Genomic DNA, 19,735 nt, shown 5'->3' with positions numbered 1-19,735 from the left:
ACATACCCTGTATAGGGCAAAGTCCCCTATATATAGAACATGTAACAAAGGCACTACTGAAGAGCCAATTTCAGTATGTGTCTTCAGCATTCCTAACCCTTCTTCCCTTTGTGTGTTTTGAGTCCCTTGTTGGTAGGACCTACTCTACACAGATGCCCAAGTAGCCTTTCATCAACACATCAAATAGGAGACCCTCTCATTTCAGTAGTCTCTACTTTATGATTGATGTAATATATTCCCATGCTGTGTGTCAAAGTCCATCCTCAACCAGGACTGCATTAGACAGCCTTCTGTCCCATTTGAGGTATCTCCAAGCAGCAGAAAGCTGAGGGCAAGCAGCTAGGGAGTCACAAAGCAAGCTCGGCACAGTCTTTGGCTCATACCAAGCACTGAACACAAATTGAGTATCCTTTATCTGAAATGCTTGGGTCCAGAAGTCTTTTGAATTTCAGACTGTTTCATATTTTGGAATATTTGAGGTATCTTGCGGATGGGATCCAAATCTAAACGGGGAATTCACATGTTTCATATAGACCTTATACACACAGCCTGAAGGTAATTTTACTTTCCCCTTGGGGACACTGAATAAACTGTTGTGCACCTGCATGTTGACCGTGGCCCATCACATGAGGTCGGGGTGAAATGATCCACTTGTCACATCGTGTTGGTAACTAAGGAAGTTTTAGATTCTGGAGGATTTAGGATTTTCAAATTAGGGATGCTCAACCTAGACTAAGGGTTATTATTGCATGTAAGATAAAATGGCAAGCAAACGTTTTAAAGATTTTACGTATTTAAAATGAGAGAAGTCAGAAGAATCAGTCTGGAATTTTTCTTCTCCACCATCCCCCACACCAAAGTCTCCAAGTTCCTATAGATAAGCTTGAAGTTTGGGGAGGGGGAAATGGCCTAGTCTTCATGTCTATTCCCTGAATTCCACTTGGGATCAAAGAGTCTGGTTTATTGACATCATCTAGGATTCCAAACCTTTCCTTCCAGTCTCACCAAAGCCTCCTTCCTGCCTTGAGAAAAGGAGGTCTGAGCTGTCAGCCTTTTTCCCCCGTTCTGACTTTCGGATGCCTATTAGGCACACGTAACTATTTTAGTTAGCATTTAATTAATTTCGACATAGCAAAGGTGCCCCCTCCCAGCATTAGGTGACACGTTTCTGTGCAACGGTTTTCTCATAATTACAACAGTATTCCTCATTTGTACTATTTAGCATACACTTCTTAAATAATTGATGGTAGCCTCTGAATTTTCCAAGCTACTGCAGAAACTAGACCAAAATACTTTTTCTAATTTTTAGCAAATTCTTATCTTAAGCATAATGACATTAAGTTTAAAGATTAATTTAAAACACATCTACTATCACTAGGAGTTGTGAACTAAGCAAAAAAAGTTCACACTATTACTAAAAAAAAGAAACTTCCACACTGAAGACAATTCATTAGTACCTAATCTAGTGTTACAATAAACCATCAAAACATCAATCAGTTTCATGAGATTAGGACAGTTTCATGGAGGGCATTAAATGAGGGGACTAAAGTATCTGAAGGATTAAGATATGGGGAAATAAATGAGAAGAAGATTAGTCCAGCAAAGGAGAACCTGACCGCTGGAAATACAGCCCAACGGAAGTCAGATATTTAACCCTGTGCATCAACACACCTGGAAAGGGGCTGCCAGTACGGCAAACACTAAGTGATTTCAGCATTAAACTAAGCAGAAATGTCTTCCTTGCAAGTAGCTCCCCTGCTTCTCCTGTTTTGGGATTTCTTGATTTTATAAATTAATCCACTGTACTATAAATATATGTGCACTGTAGAAAGTTGGAGGAAAAAAAAAATAATAACCTACTGCTAAGAGAAACTAAAAATAACTCCACTGCTCAGAGACAATCAATGCTAACATTCTGGTTTTCATCTTTTTAAAAAATGCATATACTCACACACCAAAATAAAGTTTAGCTATTACTTACATATGTTGTTTTATGTTGCATTTTATCATTAATACTAACTAAATGTTCATTAAATACAGTATTATGGAAGTTAAAGATTGATCTAAATGCTGAAATAATCATCCTTAACAACAGCAAAAAAACGAAAACAAATGCTTAAGAGGGTATTAGTTAAATAACAGCACACCCTGGACAGAATATTAATCTAGTAGTCATTTTTTTTGTATTTTCTTAGACTAAATTCTTAGAAATGGAATAGCTATTTCAAAGCACATACATATTTTACAAGCTTTTGTTACGTACTTTGCTCTCAAAAAATCATATTAAATTACACTCTTTCTAGCAAGGTATGAGTGAGCTCATTTCTCCATACCTTCACCATAAGTAGTTCATTTTTTAATCTACGCCAATTAAAAAAACAACAACAGTATCTCACTGATTTGCATTTCTGGGAGTACTGCTAGTAAAGCTGAAAGTTTTTTCATGTTTCCTGCTCCTCTTTTTATAAATTACCAGTTTGCCCATTTTTTTCCACGGGGGTGGGGGGGGGCCGCTTTTGTTGGTGGTGTTCACATGCCCTCTTTTTACAGTAAGGAAAGTAAATTTGCTTGTAAGTTACAATATTTTTCTGTTTGCCAGTCACCTTTTAATTCTGTTTATGGAATTTTAACACAGAGAAGTTTTATTATTCTAAAGTACTCAAATCTTTTCCTTTACAGTTCCCGTGCTTGGTGTTATATCTAGGTCTTCTCCATCTTGAGATCGCCATGCTGTTACTTTTTGGTTCTTAAATTTTTTCTTGAAAAAATATTTTAAAAGCACCCAAGCTTACCCCCCTAAAATGACAGCCATTTTTACTACTTTAAATATCCTCACGGCCGGGCGCAGTGGCTCACGCCTGTAATCCCAGCACTTTGGCAGGCTAAGGCAGGTGAATCACGAGGTCAGGAGTTTGAGACCAGCCTGGCCAACATGGTGAAACCCCGTCCCTACTAAAAATACAAAAAATTAGCTGGGTGTAGTGGCAGGCACCGTAATCCCAGCTACTCGGGAGGCTGAGGCAGGAGAAGCGCTTGAACCCAGGAGGCGGAGGTTGCAGTGAGCCGAGATCACGCCACTGCACTCCAGTGGGGGCGACAGAGTGAGACTCTGTCTCAAAAAAAACAAAAAACAAAAAACAAAAAAACCTTCACTAGTACATACACACTTTATACATATTTTAAATGGCTGCACCCATTTCATACAATCTATTTTCCGAAGTATTTTCTAACACAGACCTTTAAAAAAATTGCAGCTTGTTATATTTGAACAGTCTTGAATGGTTTTATAAATTTTTGCAAGGCCAATGAGTCATAACATCACACCCAATTTAACAATAGCCCCAAAGTTCCAGAACTGTTCGTGTCTATGCTATCAGTGCCCAATTACTCTCCCACAATGTTACTAAAAGACCAGGAAGAATAAGCTCATTCTTGGTAGTGGATCACAGTTCTGCATAATGAATTCTGCCATAATGATCAGATATCAGTCCTTAAAGCATTTTCATTTTAATCTCTTCTAGTCTTCTTCCATCTTCACATAAACTAGTCAAACACTCAGGGAACATCTGGTTAAAAGCCTGAGCTCCGGAGTTATCCTGTCCCGTTTAACTCGGGCTTGACTACCTTCCTAGCCCTTACCTGCACCACTCAAAGTCTCAGCTCCTTCACCTATATTCTGTAAAGTGGGTTAAACCATAGTACCCACACTTCAGAGGGCACTGTAAAGATTTCCAGTGGAAGGATGTATGTGAATGTTGATGCATGCAGTATGCTAGGCACTGGGGACAGATGCATATCACAGTGTCCCTGTCCCAAAGGAGGTCAGTTTGGTGGGAGAAACCACCAACTACAATCAAAAGGTTAAATACTGTGATAGTGACATAGGCAGGACAACATGGGAACCCAGAGAAGGCTCCTAACCCAGACCAGGACATCAGGGCCAGCTTTCCAGAGATGGTGATGTGTGAGCCGTCAGGTGATAGAAAAGGCAAAGAGTCAGATCCAGAATGGAACTGCAATAGCGCTGAAGCATGGAGTCAACACTAGGAAAGGCAGACCAGTGCTTACTTGGTCCAAGTTTCCCAAGGGAAAAAATTTAACTATCAAACTTAGGCTTCACAACCCTGCTTTTTAAACATGAATACAATACTTAATGTTCTTTAAGACCGTTTTTCCAAAATCCTGTTAATGTTAAAAGCTGTGGCATTCCCATGGAATCCACATACTTTCGGGGCCTAAGGAAATCAACAGTGTCAATTAAAAACCATCTCATTTTAAAAACGAGGAAATATATGCCCTGCAAAGGTAAGCTTGAACTAGACTCCATGTCTTCTCTCCCAAGCAAGATGTTCTATACCTAAGCAAAAATAAATGACTTCAATCTCTCTCCCTCACGGAATTTTTAGAAATGAAACACCTCCATGAGTGAATAAAAAACTTAAGTCATTAAATGTTATAATAATTCTGTTTATAGTGTGTTTACTAAATCTTCATATTATAAACAGGAAACCTCCTATAAACAGGAAATTATGTCCTCAGTAGTAAACATAAGGCTTTTATCCAAATAGGATCTATTTTTCATTTAATGCTCATTTCTTCATTTGGAAGCAAAACAAACACACTGATAAACTACCAAATGTTTTTAAAAAGCAAGGCAACCTTAGAATTGGCCCTTAAAATGGTTAACACTCTTTTCTCCAGACATACCTAAAAGACAAGTTCAAAATGAAGCTGACAGTCCCCCAAAGACATTTTATTCCAGAATGACTCAAGGTCACTGGCTTTAGGACCTACGGAAGGCTGAAACAGCAAAACAAACAAAAAACCAAGTTCCTAAGTTTTTAAGGCCCTAATATTTTTAATTTGAAGAATGGCAAGTAACAACTCCTCAATTTAAAGTACATTCATTTTAATTTTCCATGCTGAAAGACAGACACCACTGGGTATACTGGGAATGACATTCTGATGAATGGCCCTCAGAGACCAAGGGATGGTTCCTCCTACAGCAACTTCCTATCCCACTCCAGCAGAACCATGGGGCTTGCCTCATCTACAAGGAGGAGCCTTAACTACCAAACTGCTTCATTGCAAAGGCAAGGCTGGATACTCAACCTGGGGGGAAAAACCTGATCGTGTTTCCAAAAAAACACCAAACACAAAAAGTAAAAACATCCACACCTTAAAACTAGTTTTAAGGGGGAAAAAAGTTAAAGTTTCACAACCTGTTTTCTTGGCACTTTCCCAGACTTCCATAGGTATAGAAAACCTGGGCATTTTTCTGTTAGGGCCCTGTACTAGATACTGGGGTGTTTCAGGGAGAAGGGAAGTGAAGAGGGAAGGGGGAATAGAAAAGGAGGGATGAGAGAGACGATCAATTTTACTCGAGAAGTGTATAATAAAGCTTGAATTCTTAACCGGCTTAAGCACAACGACTGTGTTTTCTGTAGCCAAAAATCAGCGCATGTTTTCAAACGTTAAGTTTAAGTTAGAATTATTCCAGAAAACTCATTCATTAAAAAAAAGCAACTGAGGCACCACCACAACCAAGTTCTGTTACTCTGGGGACGCAAAAACAAATAAGGAATATCTCCTGCGCTGGAGGAATTCACAATCGGAAATGTATGGGAAATAAGGCTGTCATGTAGTTAATTACAGCTAGAAGATAATATTCAGTAAGTGGCAAGAGTCTAATGAACTGTAATATCTAAGGAAACCATGCAGAATCAGCTCAGGCATGCGTGTCTGTCTTCTGATGTGGTACACACATTAGGAGTGGGGGGTGGGGCTGGCTATAAGGACCTGAGCATGTGGCTCTCAGGGAGGGAGGCTTTTATAAATTGGTGAAAAACCCTAGCATATCTAAATTTGGTTTGTTTTTTGACAAAATCGTTTTTAAAAGATGAAGCCAATGAGAAAAAAAGTTTAACATATTTAGAAAGCAATTCAGCCATCCCTCTCAAGCTTAAGGAACACTCTCCTGAAACCTCCAAAAATGGGCATTAATAGAGTTAAAGCGAGCCAGTCTTGTGTTTGCATGCTTTGGAATTTGAAATGTAACGCAACTATTTCGACTCACCATGGAAAACAACAAATAGAACCTTCAAGTAAAACATTTTTCAATATCCAAAAACAAACCTTCTTTAAACAAAGAAAAATCTCATCTCCAAATATCTTTTTCAAACAGAATGACTGGTTTTACATTTTAAACATCATTACATATTTTACTACGTAATACACTCTCCAGGATTTCAGAAAATCGGGTACATTTTCGGGTGCACCATGAAATGAAGTGTTAAACTTAAAACTGCACACACTTCTGCGAGGCGTTAAGCTATGCTTAGGTCCTAGAAGCTCATGGCTTGAAGTAAAAAAGGAATCTAGTTCCTCTTCTGCCGCTTCGTTAAGTGCATTCCAAAAAGTGTGATCGTTTACTCCACTCAGAACTTTTGACGATTTTAATGCTACTACAGGAAAGAGCAATTACACAGAGCAAACAAATATTTAAGTAGACTGCAATTCAGTATTTGCGCACTTACCACTAACCCCTACTACGAACCAGAAGCAACCAAGAGTGACCCAATCGGAAAAGAGAATCCTCTTTTTGGCAAAGCCAGCCAGGGAGAAAACCCTAACTTTGGGGATTCATTTCAAGGAATGTCTACAAGCATTCCTCTCTTTCTTATCTTATGTCTGCGCTACACAATACTGCACGGGTGGCAGAAACGGGGGTCTTTCAGATCTTAAGGGAAAAAAAAGCGACGACCCCCGAGTCTGGGGACCCCAAGTCCCAGCGGCCTGGCGGGCGCACGGCTACCCTCAGGGTCAGGGCGCGCGCTCCCGTTGGGACCGGGGGCGCGCCGAGGCCGCAGCGCAGGGCCCGGCCCGACTAGCGAGCGATAGGCGGGCGCCGGGGGGCTCTGTCCGGTTCGGCCGCCGGGCTAGCATCCCTGCGCGCATGCCCCGGCCCGCTCTCCCAGGAGAACGGGGCAAAAGGGCGACTGTTACCCAATAATAGCGCCCTGCACGTTCGCAACAATGCAGGCGGGGAACCCGAGAGCCGCGGGCAGGGAACCGGAAAGCGAGAGAGCCCGGCTCCGCGGCTGCTCCTGCGCTTGAGCCCAGAGCTCACAGGGGAACACGCGTCGGCCGGAAAGCAGCGCCGGGAAGAAGCGTGGGCGCGAGGGGGCAAGGGCACGGGTCCCGGCGTCCCGCGGAGGTCGCCTCACCAGGCGAGGCGCGGACGCCCGAGCCGCCCCGGGCCACACGTCGGCCCACCCTCCGAGAACCCAGCCCGGTCGCGGCGGGGAAAGGGGCCGGCGCCACCAGGCCGCCGCCTCCAGGCGCGATGAATCGTGCTTTTTCCCAGTGCGTAGTCCAGGCCTGGCCGCCCCGGCCCGTCCGGGGTGACTCAGGGCCCGGCCCCGCTCGCTCCTCTGCCACCTTCGGCGTCCTCCGCCCACGAGTCCCCCGGCCCGGCCGCCATTCTGCCCGGCCGCGTTTCGGCGGCTCAGGCCTCGCCAGGCGCCTGGTTTCGGCCGTCGCGGCCCGAGTCACTGCGACACCGCGGCTCGGGGCCGGGCCTGCGCCGCCGCCGCCGCCGCCACCTCCTCTCGGCCCCGGCGGCTGCCGACACTCACCCGCATCTCTGTGGTGCCCCAAAGGCTCCCGCGACGCCTCCGCCTGGTCCCTGGGCCTGGGCCCCGGCGAAAGCCCCGTCCCGCCAAGGTCTAGCTGCGTCCCTCAGCTACCGGGGCTGCCCCGCCTGGAGCTGCGTGCGACACGGCGCCCGCCTCCTCCTCCTCCCCTGCCCGCCCGGCCCTCCTCCTCCCGCCGCCGCCGCCTGCACCACGCAACCTCCGCCCTCTCGCCTTCCCTGCGCGGCTCCCCGCCCTCTCGGCCTCACCGGCTCCGGCGACCGCGGGGGAGAAGCTGTTGGGGGAGGGCCGGAACGCACCGCCATCGGCGTCCGGGGCGGGGGAGCCGGGAAACCGTCGTCGCCATCGCCCCGCCAGCCCGAGGCGCGGGAGGGGCCCGGAAAGCTCCCTCCCGCCCGCTCGCCGCTGCCGGCGGCCCCGGGGGCGCCCCTTCCGCGGCCGAGGCCCCCGCTCGCGTGGGGAAGCTTCTACCTGCGAGCCTGCGGCCCCTGCCCCCGGCACCCGAGACATCCCCGACCCGGCGCGCCGGATTCTCTGCCAGGTTTTACAGCCTCCCTCGCCTTGGGACCGCCGCGGAGGACCCGTTCCCGCCACTTCGGACCTCGCGAGCGGGGCTGAGCTGCTTGGGTCGGGGACACCACCAGCCTCTGGAGAAACGGCCCGAAGCACCCCGAAGAAGAGGGGGTCCCAGTCCCCTGCCCCTCCCTTGTGCGCACCCCCACCCCCAGCTTGCCTGGAACCTGACTCCACACCTTTGTCGACCGGGACAGGGACTGGGGGTTGCACCCCAGATCAGAAAGTCAGAGGTGGCCCTCCGAATCGGCGCGGACTTCCGAGGAACCTCAGCCAATTCTCGACCCCCTTACCACCTGCAAGGCCTTAGGAATCGGCTCCAGAAAGCTCGAGCTTATCTGCGTGTTTCGTTTTAAAAATCACTTCTAAGATAAAACCTAACTAGGCTTTCCCCTTCAGACTTTCAGTAACTCCTGTTTGGCAAATTTTGACATTCACTCTATCCTTCGTCTTTGTAAGGACATATCAAGACTTAGAAGGCTTTGATTACACATACGGATGGCATGAGTCGTGATATAAAATAGTATTGTTTTCACGTGTACTTCGAAGTCATCTCATTTGAAATTAACTGTCATAATTGACTATTTGGAATATTCAACCTAAATACTACCCGCTGCTGTGGTGACGGGGGGTGGAGGAAGCGTGGTGGAACCCCAACACCTAGTGAGGGGTGGCTGATTAATACCACGGCTCACAACATAACAGAGCGGCTCATTCCATGAACAACCCCGGGGGGATTTCGAATTCTATCATCTGGGCAAAAGATGTGATGAGTGTAACTTCCTGTTTTCTCCAAACTAAAACACTACGCAGATTCCTGTACCGCTCTGGGACAGAAATCCTCAGCCAGAGCAGAGGCCGTCCCCAGAGTCCACACTGTTTCCTGCATAAAGTGGGTTATCTCAGAAGAAACATCCCACTGGTCTGTGTGATCCTTCTATTGAAATGTGGTCTTTTATCTACATCTAAGTATCTCTAGAAGTAATGCGTTTGTATGTACTTGTCACTCAGATATGTAATCCCTTAATTTGTGCGGGGTTTTGGGGTGTGAAAAATTCTTGGTTTATATCCTACACTTTTAAATAACCTCGTCAAAACTTACATGTATTTAACACCTTTTTTTGTGAGCACATGGTAAGGTTGGAAGTAAAAATGGAAGGTTTATCCCTGTGGCCCATGTTTTCCAGTGTACCTATGTGGGGTTTTAAAAAAATGTCCCAATTTCTTCCTTTTACTGGAGACTGCGTTTTTTAGACAACAGCTTATCTTCCTATTCCCTAACCAGTCTTCTCCAATCTTACCATTCAATATAGCCTCCTTTTCTGTGACTTCCTCCAGCTGAATAGAAGGGCTGAGTGGGTCAACCTTCCCTGTATTGTTTGTTTCCTCCACCCTCTCTTTTTCCTTAATAGCAGTATTTGGTCCACCCACACCACCCTCTCTCTTCTCACTGCCTCCATTCCTGGTTCTTAACTCCTTTCTATTCTTTACTCTCCACCTGCCTACACGATCATTCTTAGCAGCAAATTTATTCCATCGACTTTTACGTCCACTTAACATCCAGATTGCATTTACTTTGCGCAGATAACCTTGCCGCCTACCTCACAAGTCAAGGCCACCTGCTGCTCTCTTTCTACTTTAAAACATCCTTCCTCCATCTTTACCCCCCAACTCAGCAAAATTGATGTCTCTCTCGGATGACCCAAAGTTTGGAGGGATAATTAATTTGATAGATGTCAGAATCAAAGTTCAAAACAGTCTCAACAGGCTACAACATTAGGCCAAAAGCAATGAAATAAAATATAACTTTCAAATCTAAATATGATGTACTAGCTGGAAAAGCCCAAGTTTTAGATTTTAGACCTTGGTTTGTATCTAGTTACCCAAATTTGAGTCATATCCAGTAACTCAAATTACTATCTTTTGCTCTAGTAAGGTCAACTGTTAATTTGAGATAAAAATACCTACTTCATAAGAGTGTGAAGAGTAATTTATTTATAATTCCCACGTAATTCGTGGAACATTCACCAACCATTAGTTCCCCTCCCTTCCTCATCGTCCACAAAGTGGTTGTCTCTGTTGCCATTCATAACACATTCTTTAATTCATACAGACCTGGAAACAGACTCAAAATCCTGGCCCGTTCACCTTGTATCCCAGAGCTGTCACCATCGTAGAGAAATCGTTTGCCTCTTTTGGGTCAGTCATTATCATCATCATACCCATTTTTTCAATGAAAAAACCTAAGGCTCAGAGATGTTAGGCAATTTGCTCCAAATCACTCAGCCTGATCAGTGGCATAACCTGACCCAGTGACTCATGATTCTGTGTATATCCACTCCTTTACTAAGATATTCTCCCACACTTATGTTGGTCCTTTAGCCTTCTAAATGCTTTTCCTGGTTCTTATCTCTTTATCCTTCCACTTGTGTCCTGACTGATGGCAGATTATTCCTTCTAAACTGATACCTTCATCATTATAATTTTGTCCTTTCAAGCTTCAGTGGTTCCATATTGTTTATAGTGTTCAATCCAAATTTGGACCTGGCACTTAAGGTTTACCAGATCTTGTCCAAACTTGCATTTCCAAATTTATTTCCTGCCACTTCCCAGAAGGAACTCTCAATGCCATCCGGTCCTGTTGGTTGTACTCACTGGCCCACAGATGAGCTGTGAGTCGCCATTTATGAGGGCCTCCTTCAGTTGTTCCCTTAACAGATACCATTTCCCACTTCTTTCCTCCATCTCCAAATCATGCTCACTTTTCAAGATCCAGCTCACACCCCCTCCCAGGAAGCCCACCTTACACCTTCTACCCAAGCTTTGTGATCTCTCCCTGATTGCCTGTTCACATGTGCCTTTAAACTAGGTGGTCTGTGCTGTGGGGTGAGAGACAATTTCCTAAGGTTCACCTGCCCCCTCAGCACTGTGCCCAAAGAACACTGAAGCAGATTCCAAGCAAATTTGCTTACTACTGAAATGAAAGGGTACAGGTGTTACTTGATTAACCATATGAACTGTTATTTCTAAGACACAGGTAAGTAACTAGCCATCCAGCGCAAAGTGAATTAGCAGGATGGTTCTCAAACCTGGCTTTGCTTCAGAATCAGCTGGGGACTTTACTAATTCCGAGGGCCCTGTTCCAGATCTACTGAATCAAAAGTAGGTGGGAAGCAGCCGGGAGGGAACATGAAACTGCCAGAGTTTATATCCTGGCATCGTTGCTTATTATCTGGGGAACTTTGAGCAAGTTACTTAACCTCTCTGTGCCTCAGTTTCTTCGTCTATGACATAGGGATGATAATAATAGTAGCTTGGCCGGGCATGGTGGCTCATGCCTGTAATCCCAGCACTTTGGGAGGCCAAGGCAGGTGGATCACTTGAGGTGACCAGCCTGGCCAACAAGGTGAAACCCTGTCTCTACTAAGAATACAAAAATTAGCCGGGTGTGGTGGCATGCACCTGTAATCCCAGCTACTCAGGAGGCTGAGGCAAGAGAATCGTTTGGACCCAGGAGACAGAGGTTGCAGTAAGTGGAGATTGCGCCACTGCACTCCAGCCTAGGGTGACAGAGTGAGACTCTGCCTCAAAAAATTAATAATAATAGTATCTCATATAAGGTTGTTGTAAGTTAAATCCTTAATAAATATTACCTATGACAATGATAATTTTTCAATTAAACTTGTTTATTTAATCCAAATCATGAAATATACATTACTTGTGATTTTTTTAAAAAAAATAGTTCTGCTTATAAACGTAGTTACGTATATGCTGTAACTAACTATACAGAGTAATTCAACTAGATTAGTATCCAAAGGAAGCTGGAAAGAGATGAAATAATCGAACGATTTCTTATACCTAGATTTTTAAATTCTTTTTGAAGAAGTAGGTGTTTAAGTCCCCTAGTTTAATTTCTTTCTTACCTTCTGTCCTTTTTTTTTTTGAGACAGGATCTCACTTTGTTGCTCAGGCTGGAGTGCAGTGGCATGATCATGGCTCACTGCAGCCTCAACTTTTTGGACTCAGGTGATCCTCCCACCTCAGCCTCCCAAAGTGCTGGGATTACAGGCATTACTGTAACCCGGCCTAATCCCCTACTTTGGTTTCATTAAAAAGGATTTTGTAGCTAATTTTGGTCCATCAAATGCCAAATAAACAAGATTGTAATAATAGAGGTAACTAGATGTAAAGTATGATGCAGAAATACACTTACCAAAGTCACAAACTGTCTGAAGGGGAAACATAGTATTGGTAGACCTCATCCTCTCGACTCTTGACTTATAAGTTGCCTATGTAAACAAATACACAAAGGCCTTGTTTTTATTGCCTGGAATTCCACCAAAGATTCTTAAGTATCATTTCTTAAAGATGCAAATGGCTCTAGGAGGTAGGAGTGCTTGATAGTTGTTCACACATTGGCATTAACTAGTTCAATCAGGTTGCTTTTTTTTTTTTTTGAGATGGGTTTCACTCTGTTGCCCAGGCTGGAATGCAGTGACATGATCACAGCTCACTGCAGCCTTGACCTCCTGGACGCAAACAATCCTCCCATCTCAGCCTCCCGAGTAGCACCTGTCACCATCCCCAGCTAATTTTTTTACTTTTTTATAGCAATGGGATCTTGCTATGTTGCCCAGGCTGATCTTGAACTCCTGGGCTGAAGCAATCCTCCTGCTTCGACCTCCCAACGTGCTGGGATTACCATACTTCATGTGGCCACGTCGCCTTCCTTTTAACGCAGATCAGTAGCACCTAAGCCCAGAAAGTTTGGGGCAAATCAAGTTTTGGAAAAACACTTGAGTGCCTCAGGGAAGGCTGAAGGCCTTAGGCCAGAGGTTCTGGGAGGAGGAGCCTTAAGCAAAAGAAGAAAATGAAGAAAAGGAGAAGGAAGGATTTAAAAATTTAACCTGTCCAATTTCAGATCTTGCATATTGCCAGTTCTAGGCCTCTTATTTTGGAATCCAGAAAATACTGCTGTAAGATAGTCATGAATTAACCTTTTGAGTCTGACCTGGGAGACCTAAACACCATCGTTAACATTGTATGAGATGAAATAGCAATGTATTTTCCAATTATTCAACCTAGTTTCTATGAGATATTATTCAGAGAAAGAAAAGTGTCCTAAAATATTGTTTTCTTTTTCCTCTTTTTCTTCTTTCTTTCTTTTTTTTTTTTTTTTTTTTTTTTTTGAAGACAGGGTCTGTCTCTGTCACCCAGGCTGGAAGTGTGGTGGTCTGATCACAGCTCACTGTGGCCTTGACATCCCGGGCTCAAGTAATCCTCCCACCTCAGCCTCCTGTGTAGCTGGGACCACAGGCATGTGCCACCATGCCCAGCTTTTTTTTCTTTTTTCCCTGCAATGTTGCCCAGGCTACTTTTTTCCCTTTGTTGTTGTGTATTTCTGTGTTTTTTTTTTTTTTTTTGAGACCGAGACTTGATATGTTGCCCAGGCTGGTCTCGAATTCCTGGGCTCAAGTGACCCTACCGCTTTAGCCTCCTGAGTAGTGGGGACTACAATGCACCCCTGAGCCTGGCCTAGAATTGCTTTTTCCAGGAAGTTTTCTATGACCCTCCATATCTCAACCCACCCCATGTCTGCACCTGGATTAGTTGTCCTTCTTGTGTAATTCTTTTGTACCATGTAGTTATTATATTGCATTATAATTTTTCCCTTCTCTATCTCCTACTTCCTCACAGATTGTGAGCTCCTTGAATTCAGACGCTGTGTCTTTTGTCATTATATCTACAACATTTAGCACAGTGCGTGGCACATATTATACTGAAAGTGGTTAGAACCCAACGCATGCACTAATGGGATTGTTTGTACTATGAAATTCAGTCATTCCACTTTCCTGCTCAAAGACCTTTTGTAATTCTCTGCTTCCTAAAAGAATCTCAAACACCTCATTCCTAATACTGAAGCATTCTCTACACTTTGGCTCTAATGGATCAGTCCCTCTGGTTTCTTATGCTTATCATACCAGATCCAAACTAGATTCCTATGAATGCCTGATTAGGCTCCATGCATTTCCTCATCCAACTGTAACTTCCACAGAAATTGCTCTTCTCCAGTCACTGCTTACCCAAATATAACCCGTCCTTCTGGGCCTACCTGAAATGCAGTCTCTTTAGTGAAACCTTCCCTGCTCTTCTACCTGATGTGAATTCCACTTCTCCCCTTGCACTGGGTAAGCTTCTTAAAGACATTCTTGAACAAGTTTGTATCTACAGGACTGTATTAAATTATGGAGGCTGGCAAGTCCAAAATCTGCAGGGTAGGTTGGCAAGCTGGACACTCACAGAAGAACCAATGTTGAAGTTCAAGTGTGAAGGCCATCAGGGTGGCAGAATTTCTTCTTGCTCAAGAAATGTCAGTCTTTTGCTCTATTAAGGCCTTCCACCAATTTGATGAGGCCCACCCACATATGGATGGCAAGTTGCTTTATTCAAAGTCCACCAATGAGGCCAGGCACGGTGGCTCATGCCTGTAATTAATCCCAGCACTTCGGGAGGCCGAGGTGGGTGGATCCCTTGAGGTCAGGAGTTCGAGAACAGATTGGCCAACATGGTGAAACCCTGTCTCTACAAAAATACAAAAATACAAAAATAGCGAGGCATGGAGGCGCACCTCTGTAATCCCAGCTACTTGGGAGGCTGAGACAAGAGAATCATTTGAACTCGGGAGGCAGAGGTTGCAGTGAGTTGAGATGGTGACATTGCACTCTAGCCTGGATGACAGAGTGAGACTCTGTCTCGAAAAGAAAAAACAAACAAAAATAAATAAAACAAAGTCCACCAATGACTGTTAATCTCATCCAAAAAACACCTTCACAGAAACATCCAGAATAATGTTTGACCAAATATCCAGGCACCACGGTCCGACCAAGTTGACGCATAACATTAAACACCACAAGAACTACGTGGGATACCCCGGATGTAGCAAATGGGATATTCTTTCTTTAAAAAGTAATTTATACTTGGCCGGGCGCAGTGGCTCACACCTGTAATCTCAGCACTTTGGGAGGCTGAGGTGGGCAGATCACTTGAGTCAGGAGTTCGAGACCAGCCTGGGCAACATGGTGAAACCCTATCTCTACTAAAAATACAAAAATTAGCTGGGCGTGGTGGCAGGCACCTGTAATCCCAGCTACTCGGGAGGCTGAGGCAGGAGAATCACTTCAACCTGGGAGGCGGAGGTTACAGTGAGCCAAGATCACACCACTGCACTCCAGCCTGGGTGATGAAGTGAGACTCTGTCTCAAAAAAAAAAAGTAATTTATACTCATTGCCTCAAGTTTCCTACCTCCTAGTGACTCAGCCCATCTCTACACACCTACTAAGTTCAACAGTTCCTCTCCTGCATTTGATGTTCGTTCTACCTGCCCCTCCATCATGAAACCACTCATCCTTTGACTCCCAGACTCTTATGCCCTCATGGCTTTTCTAGCTGATAAATCTTTCTGCATCTGGCTCTCTTCCACCCTCCTCTTAAATGTGGGTTCCTGAAGGTTCCATTCTTGGCCATCTTTTCTTGCTACATCTTCTTCTTGTGTGATCTTGTCAGTTTCACTTGTCATCTATGTCAAGTTATCATCTCCGACTTTATTCAGGGACACTTCTAGGTTTCATGGTGCTTGAAGTTTATATAATTTAACACAGGAGTACTCTTTAAGAAAATGTCTATGCTAGGATGGCTAGCAATAACTTAGTTACACACGGAACTCCCCTAAATGTATCCCATGAAGCCCAACCTATATTGTATCTCAAACTTATCTTGCCCCTAAACAGGTCCCCCAAAATGCCTAGAGGACTCCAGTGCCACCTGACCTGGGGGGACGTGTGAAGAAGATGTTAGGGTGGAAAGAGGTAACAGTCTTGGTCTTAATCACATCAAAAATAACCTACTTTTGAAATTTTTACAAAAAAGAAACATGACAACATGAACATATTGCTAAGGCCCTTGCCAGGTGCTTGGAAGACCCCATGCGGGTGAGGAGAGCTGAAGTTAACGTTTGCTACCTTCAAGAGTAGCGGTCCATCTCTGTCTTCAGCTTGACCTCTCCCACACTTCAGGTCTGATTTTCTAGCTGCTTGCCAGACCTCTCTACTTGAACGTCCCTCATATTTCAAACCATTTGGCCTCAAATAAAGACCATTATTCCTTATTCTACCCCTGACCCATCTCATATCTTTTCCTTTGTTTTTCTGTCTCTTATATTGGCATCACCATCTGCCCAGTTATTCAAGTTAGCAGCCTCAGTTATTTCCTGTTCTGCCCTTTCCCTGCTCCATTTGTTTATTAGATCCCATTGAGTTTGTTCCTGTATTTGCTTTCATTTGGACTGCTGAAAGGGCCTCCTCACTGTCTGTCTGCCTCTGGTCTCCTCCAATTCATCCTCCACACAGCTGTGGAGCTATTTTTCTAAAATATGGTCATGACTTCCTCAAGAAGCAAGACAGCATGGGCTCTGGAGCTAGCACCCAGGTTTAAATCTTGGCTCTACTGCTTACTTCCTGTTTGACTTTGGACAAGTTATTTAATCTGTCTATGACTCAGTTTCCTACTTATAAAATGGGAATACTGGCCAGGCGTGGTGGCTCACACCGTAATCCTAGCACTTTGGGAGGCTGAGGCAGGCAGATTGCTTGAGCTCAGAAGTTCGAGACCAGCCTGAGCAACACAGTGAAAACTTGTCTCTACTAAAAATACAAAAAAAACTAGCTGGGCGTGGTGGCAGGCGCCTGTAATGGGAGGCTGAGGCACGAGAATTGTTTGAACCCCGGAGGCAGAGGTTGCAGTAAGCCGAGATCGTGCCACTGCGCTCCAGCTTGGATGACAGAGTGAGACTCTTCTCAAAAAAACAAAACAAGACAAAAAAACAGGGAATAGTTGACACTTCACAGGAGATTTTAACAAATAAATTACAGCATTTCTTGGTGTTGGATATTTGATACATAGAAAACATTAGTATGTTATTATCACTGTTAATATAGCTATCAAAAACTTTTGATGGGACCGGGCACAGTGTCTCACGTGTATAATCCCAGCACTTTGGGAGGCCAACGTGGGAGGATCGCCTGAGGTCAGGTGTTCGAGACCAGCCTGGCTAACATGGTGAAACCCTGTTTCTTCTAAAAATATAACAGTTAGCCGGGTGTGGTGGCACACGCCTGTAATCCCAGCTACTCTGGAGGCTAAGGCAGAAGAATTGCTTGAATCCGGGAGGGAGATGAAGGTTGCAGTGAGCCAAGATCGCGCCACTGCACTCCGGCCTGGGTGACAGAGTGAGACTCTGCCTCAAAAAAGCAAAACAAAACAAAACAAACTTTTGATGGTTTCACGTACTGGAACAAGACATTCAATAATCATCTTCACGCTGAGACCTCAGTCCCTTTTCCCAGTGTCTGTTCTTGCCTCGTCTCTTCCTAGACCTTGTGCTGCAGACACACTTGAAACCAGGCAGATGCTTCCCAGGCCATTTGGGTGCTCCTGGTTTTCCTTTGTTGGAAATGTCCTCTTCCTTTTTCTTTCTGTGGAGAAATCTCAATCATTCCTCAGGTTCCTGATCCAATGTCATCTTCTCTCTGAAGTTTCCTCAGCCTCTTTGCCCTCACTGTATCCTGGTGTTTCTTAATAAACACCAAGCAAAAGACCTCTGACAAACCCCTCCTCCTCCCGAACTTTCTTTTTTCAATTGCCAAAAATGGGTTTTAAGTGTTTGAGTCACAATTCTTGCATGCATGCTCTCATGTAATACTTGTAAAGTATATCTTGGATTATTCCAAGTTTTTATTGGCATAAATCAGAGAGAACATTCTAGTCATGAATGATGAAGTGTGTTTTCCAGGTCATACTACATTCATGCCAGGAACATGGCATAGCCCATCAACACCATTTGTTTATATGATGTATTTTAAAGAACAATTATAGTATTAAGATAATGTACACAGAGAATTTAAGAAATTTCAATGGCTTTAGAGCTTTGTTTTCTTGGTCTGTAGGGTTAGTTGCTTTTGACTTGATATTCACTCTGGGAATGGAAAAATGGAGCTGGCAGGCTGAAATCATCAATTAACAGATAATAACTAGAAAGATATTATACTGCCACTTTATGGGAAAAGGTACTTTTTTGCCAGTTAATTTTTCTATGGGATGCCAAGGGAGGAGACCGCTTTAGAATTTGCCTAATTTCTCCGACCATTTTTAAAGAATAAAGGTATTTTTGTTTGTTTTTTTTTTCTTGAGACAGAGTCTCACTCTGTCACCCAGGCTGGAGTGCAGTGAGGCAATCTCGGCTCACTGCAACCTCCGCCTTCCAATTTAAGCAATTCTCCTGCCTCAGCCTCCCAAGTAGCTGGGACTACAGGTGCGCACTACCACGCCTGGCTAATTTTTGTGTTTTTAGTACAGACGGGGTTTCGCCATGTTGGCCAGGCTGGTCTTGAACTCCTGACCTCAGGTGATCTGCCCATCTTGGCCTCCCAAAGTTCTGGGATTACAGGCATGAGCCATTGCGCCTGATCTTAAAGAATATATGTTTAATTTATAGTTGAAATCTGGATTAATTTACAGTTGAAATCTGGCTAGTTCTGCTGACAGAGTAAGTTCAGAAATCAAACTCACTGAACAATGAGAGCTGTATGTTATTTTTGCTGATAATGTCCCAGAAACTTAGTCAGTGCTATTAACCACAACTCCTCTGGTTTTGGCTCCTCTGAGGACTGCATCAGCCTACAAGTCTGTTTCTGTGACCTTAACAGTTAAACAAGAGAGAAATACCAACATGAAAACAAGAATTTCAAAGATTCCCCTTGCATGATTGGGTAGGAGAGCAGGAGAGACAACGTAGGTGGGAGGCTGGCAACTAAATATTCAAGAGAAAAACTCAAATTTTCCTCCCAGTTGGGAAGCCAATATGTCTTCCTCATTCTTCTTCTTCTTTTTTTTTTTTTTTTGAAATGAAGTCTCACTCTGTCACTGAGGCTGGAGTGCAGTGGTGCAATCTCAGCTCACTGCAACCTCTGCCTCCTGGGTTCAAGCGATTCTCCTGCCTCGGCCTCCCGAGTAGCTGGGATTACAGGTGTGCACCACCACGCCAGGCTAATTTTGATATTTTTAGGAGAGATGGGGTTTCACCATGTTGCCCAGGATGGTCTCGATCTCCTGACCTTGTAATCTGCCTGCCTCGGCCTCCCAAAGTGCTGGGATTACAGGCGTGAGCCATGGCACCCGGCCCCTGATTCTTTTGTCAATGATATTTCCTTTTATTTTTTCCTACCTCTTTCCTTCCAACAGCTCTAACCTTTTACTAAAGGATTAGAAATGGGTAAATATTCAGTAATCTAATCCCTGGTTATTTTAAGACAGCCGACTTAATTGCCTTTGAAAGAAATGCTCCTTGGACAGTGCAAGGGCACTTGTATTTTGGAGGTACCGGCAAGACAACCTGGAAGAAACTGGTAACAGACAGAAATTTACTCGGAGCCACAGACGCTTAAGACACTTA

General features: G+C 44.3%; 1 protein-coding gene across 6 annotated transcripts in view, besides 7 other annotated features; it reads right to left on the bottom strand.

Moving 5' to 3' along the window:
- CUL1 (cullin 1) overlaps positions 1–8,911 on the bottom strand; it is a 103,355-nt gene extending 94,444 nt beyond the window's left edge. Inside the window, exon 1 of one of the 6 annotated variants that reach the window (NM_001370660.1) lies at positions 8,408–8,911. The gene's annotated coding sequence lies outside the window, so the exon portion shown is untranslated. Of the gene's footprint in view, positions 1–6,536; positions 6,958–7,637; positions 7,765–7,903; positions 8,023–8,126; positions 8,305–8,407 lie in introns of those variants that run through there. The other 5 variants (NM_001370661.1, NM_001370662.1, NM_001370663.1 and 2 more) reach the window with 5 other exon arrangements.
- Positions 6,737–7,462: an enhancer, noted in NCBI's record as "H3K27ac hESC enhancer chr7:148396297-148397022 (GRCh37/hg19 assembly coordinates)". NCBI's record gives its function as "activates a minimal SCP1, AML or CMV promoter by ChIP-STARR-seq in primed H9 embryonic stem cells {active_cell/tissue: H9 hESC(primed)}" and the evidence as "EXISTENCE:reporter gene assay evidence [ECO:0000049][PMID:30033119]".
- Positions 6,737–8,189: a biological region, named in NCBI's record as "H3K27ac hESC enhancer GRCh37_chr7:148396297-148397022".
- Positions 6,760–6,859: a silencer, noted in NCBI's record as "silent region_18735". NCBI's record gives its function as "represses an Ori minimal core promoter by ATAC-STARR-seq in GM12878 lymphoblastoid cells {active_cell/tissue: GM12878}" and the evidence as "EXISTENCE:reporter gene assay evidence [ECO:0000049][PMID:35858748]".
- Positions 7,160–8,189: a silencer, noted in NCBI's record as "silent region_18734". NCBI's record gives its function as "represses an Ori minimal core promoter by ATAC-STARR-seq in GM12878 lymphoblastoid cells {active_cell/tissue: GM12878}" and the evidence as "EXISTENCE:reporter gene assay evidence [ECO:0000049][PMID:35858748]".
- Positions 8,530–8,579: an enhancer, noted in NCBI's record as "active region_26800". NCBI's record gives its function as "activates an Ori minimal core promoter by ATAC-STARR-seq in GM12878 lymphoblastoid cells {active_cell/tissue: GM12878}" and the evidence as "EXISTENCE:reporter gene assay evidence [ECO:0000049][PMID:35858748]".
- Positions 8,850–8,909: a silencer, noted in NCBI's record as "silent region_18733". NCBI's record gives its function as "represses an Ori minimal core promoter by ATAC-STARR-seq in GM12878 lymphoblastoid cells {active_cell/tissue: GM12878}" and the evidence as "EXISTENCE:reporter gene assay evidence [ECO:0000049][PMID:35858748]".
- Positions 15,360–15,586: a silencer, noted in NCBI's record as "fragment chr7:148388173-148388399 (GRCh37/hg19 assembly coordinates)". NCBI's record gives its function as "represses an EF-1alpha promoter that drives an FKBP-Casp9 reporter gene in an ReSE screen in K562 erythroleukemia cells {active_cell/tissue: K562}" and the evidence as "EXISTENCE:reporter gene assay evidence [ECO:0000049][PMID:32094911]".

The sequence above is a fragment of the Homo sapiens genome, chromosome 7 (assembly GCF_000001405.40).
Source record: "Homo sapiens chromosome 7, GRCh38.p14 Primary Assembly".
NCBI classification, from domain to species: domain Eukaryota; kingdom Metazoa; phylum Chordata; class Mammalia; order Primates; family Hominidae; genus Homo; species Homo sapiens.
The sequence above is the reverse complement of the archived record's forward strand: the minus strand, read 5'-3'. Positions and strand labels throughout refer to the sequence as shown.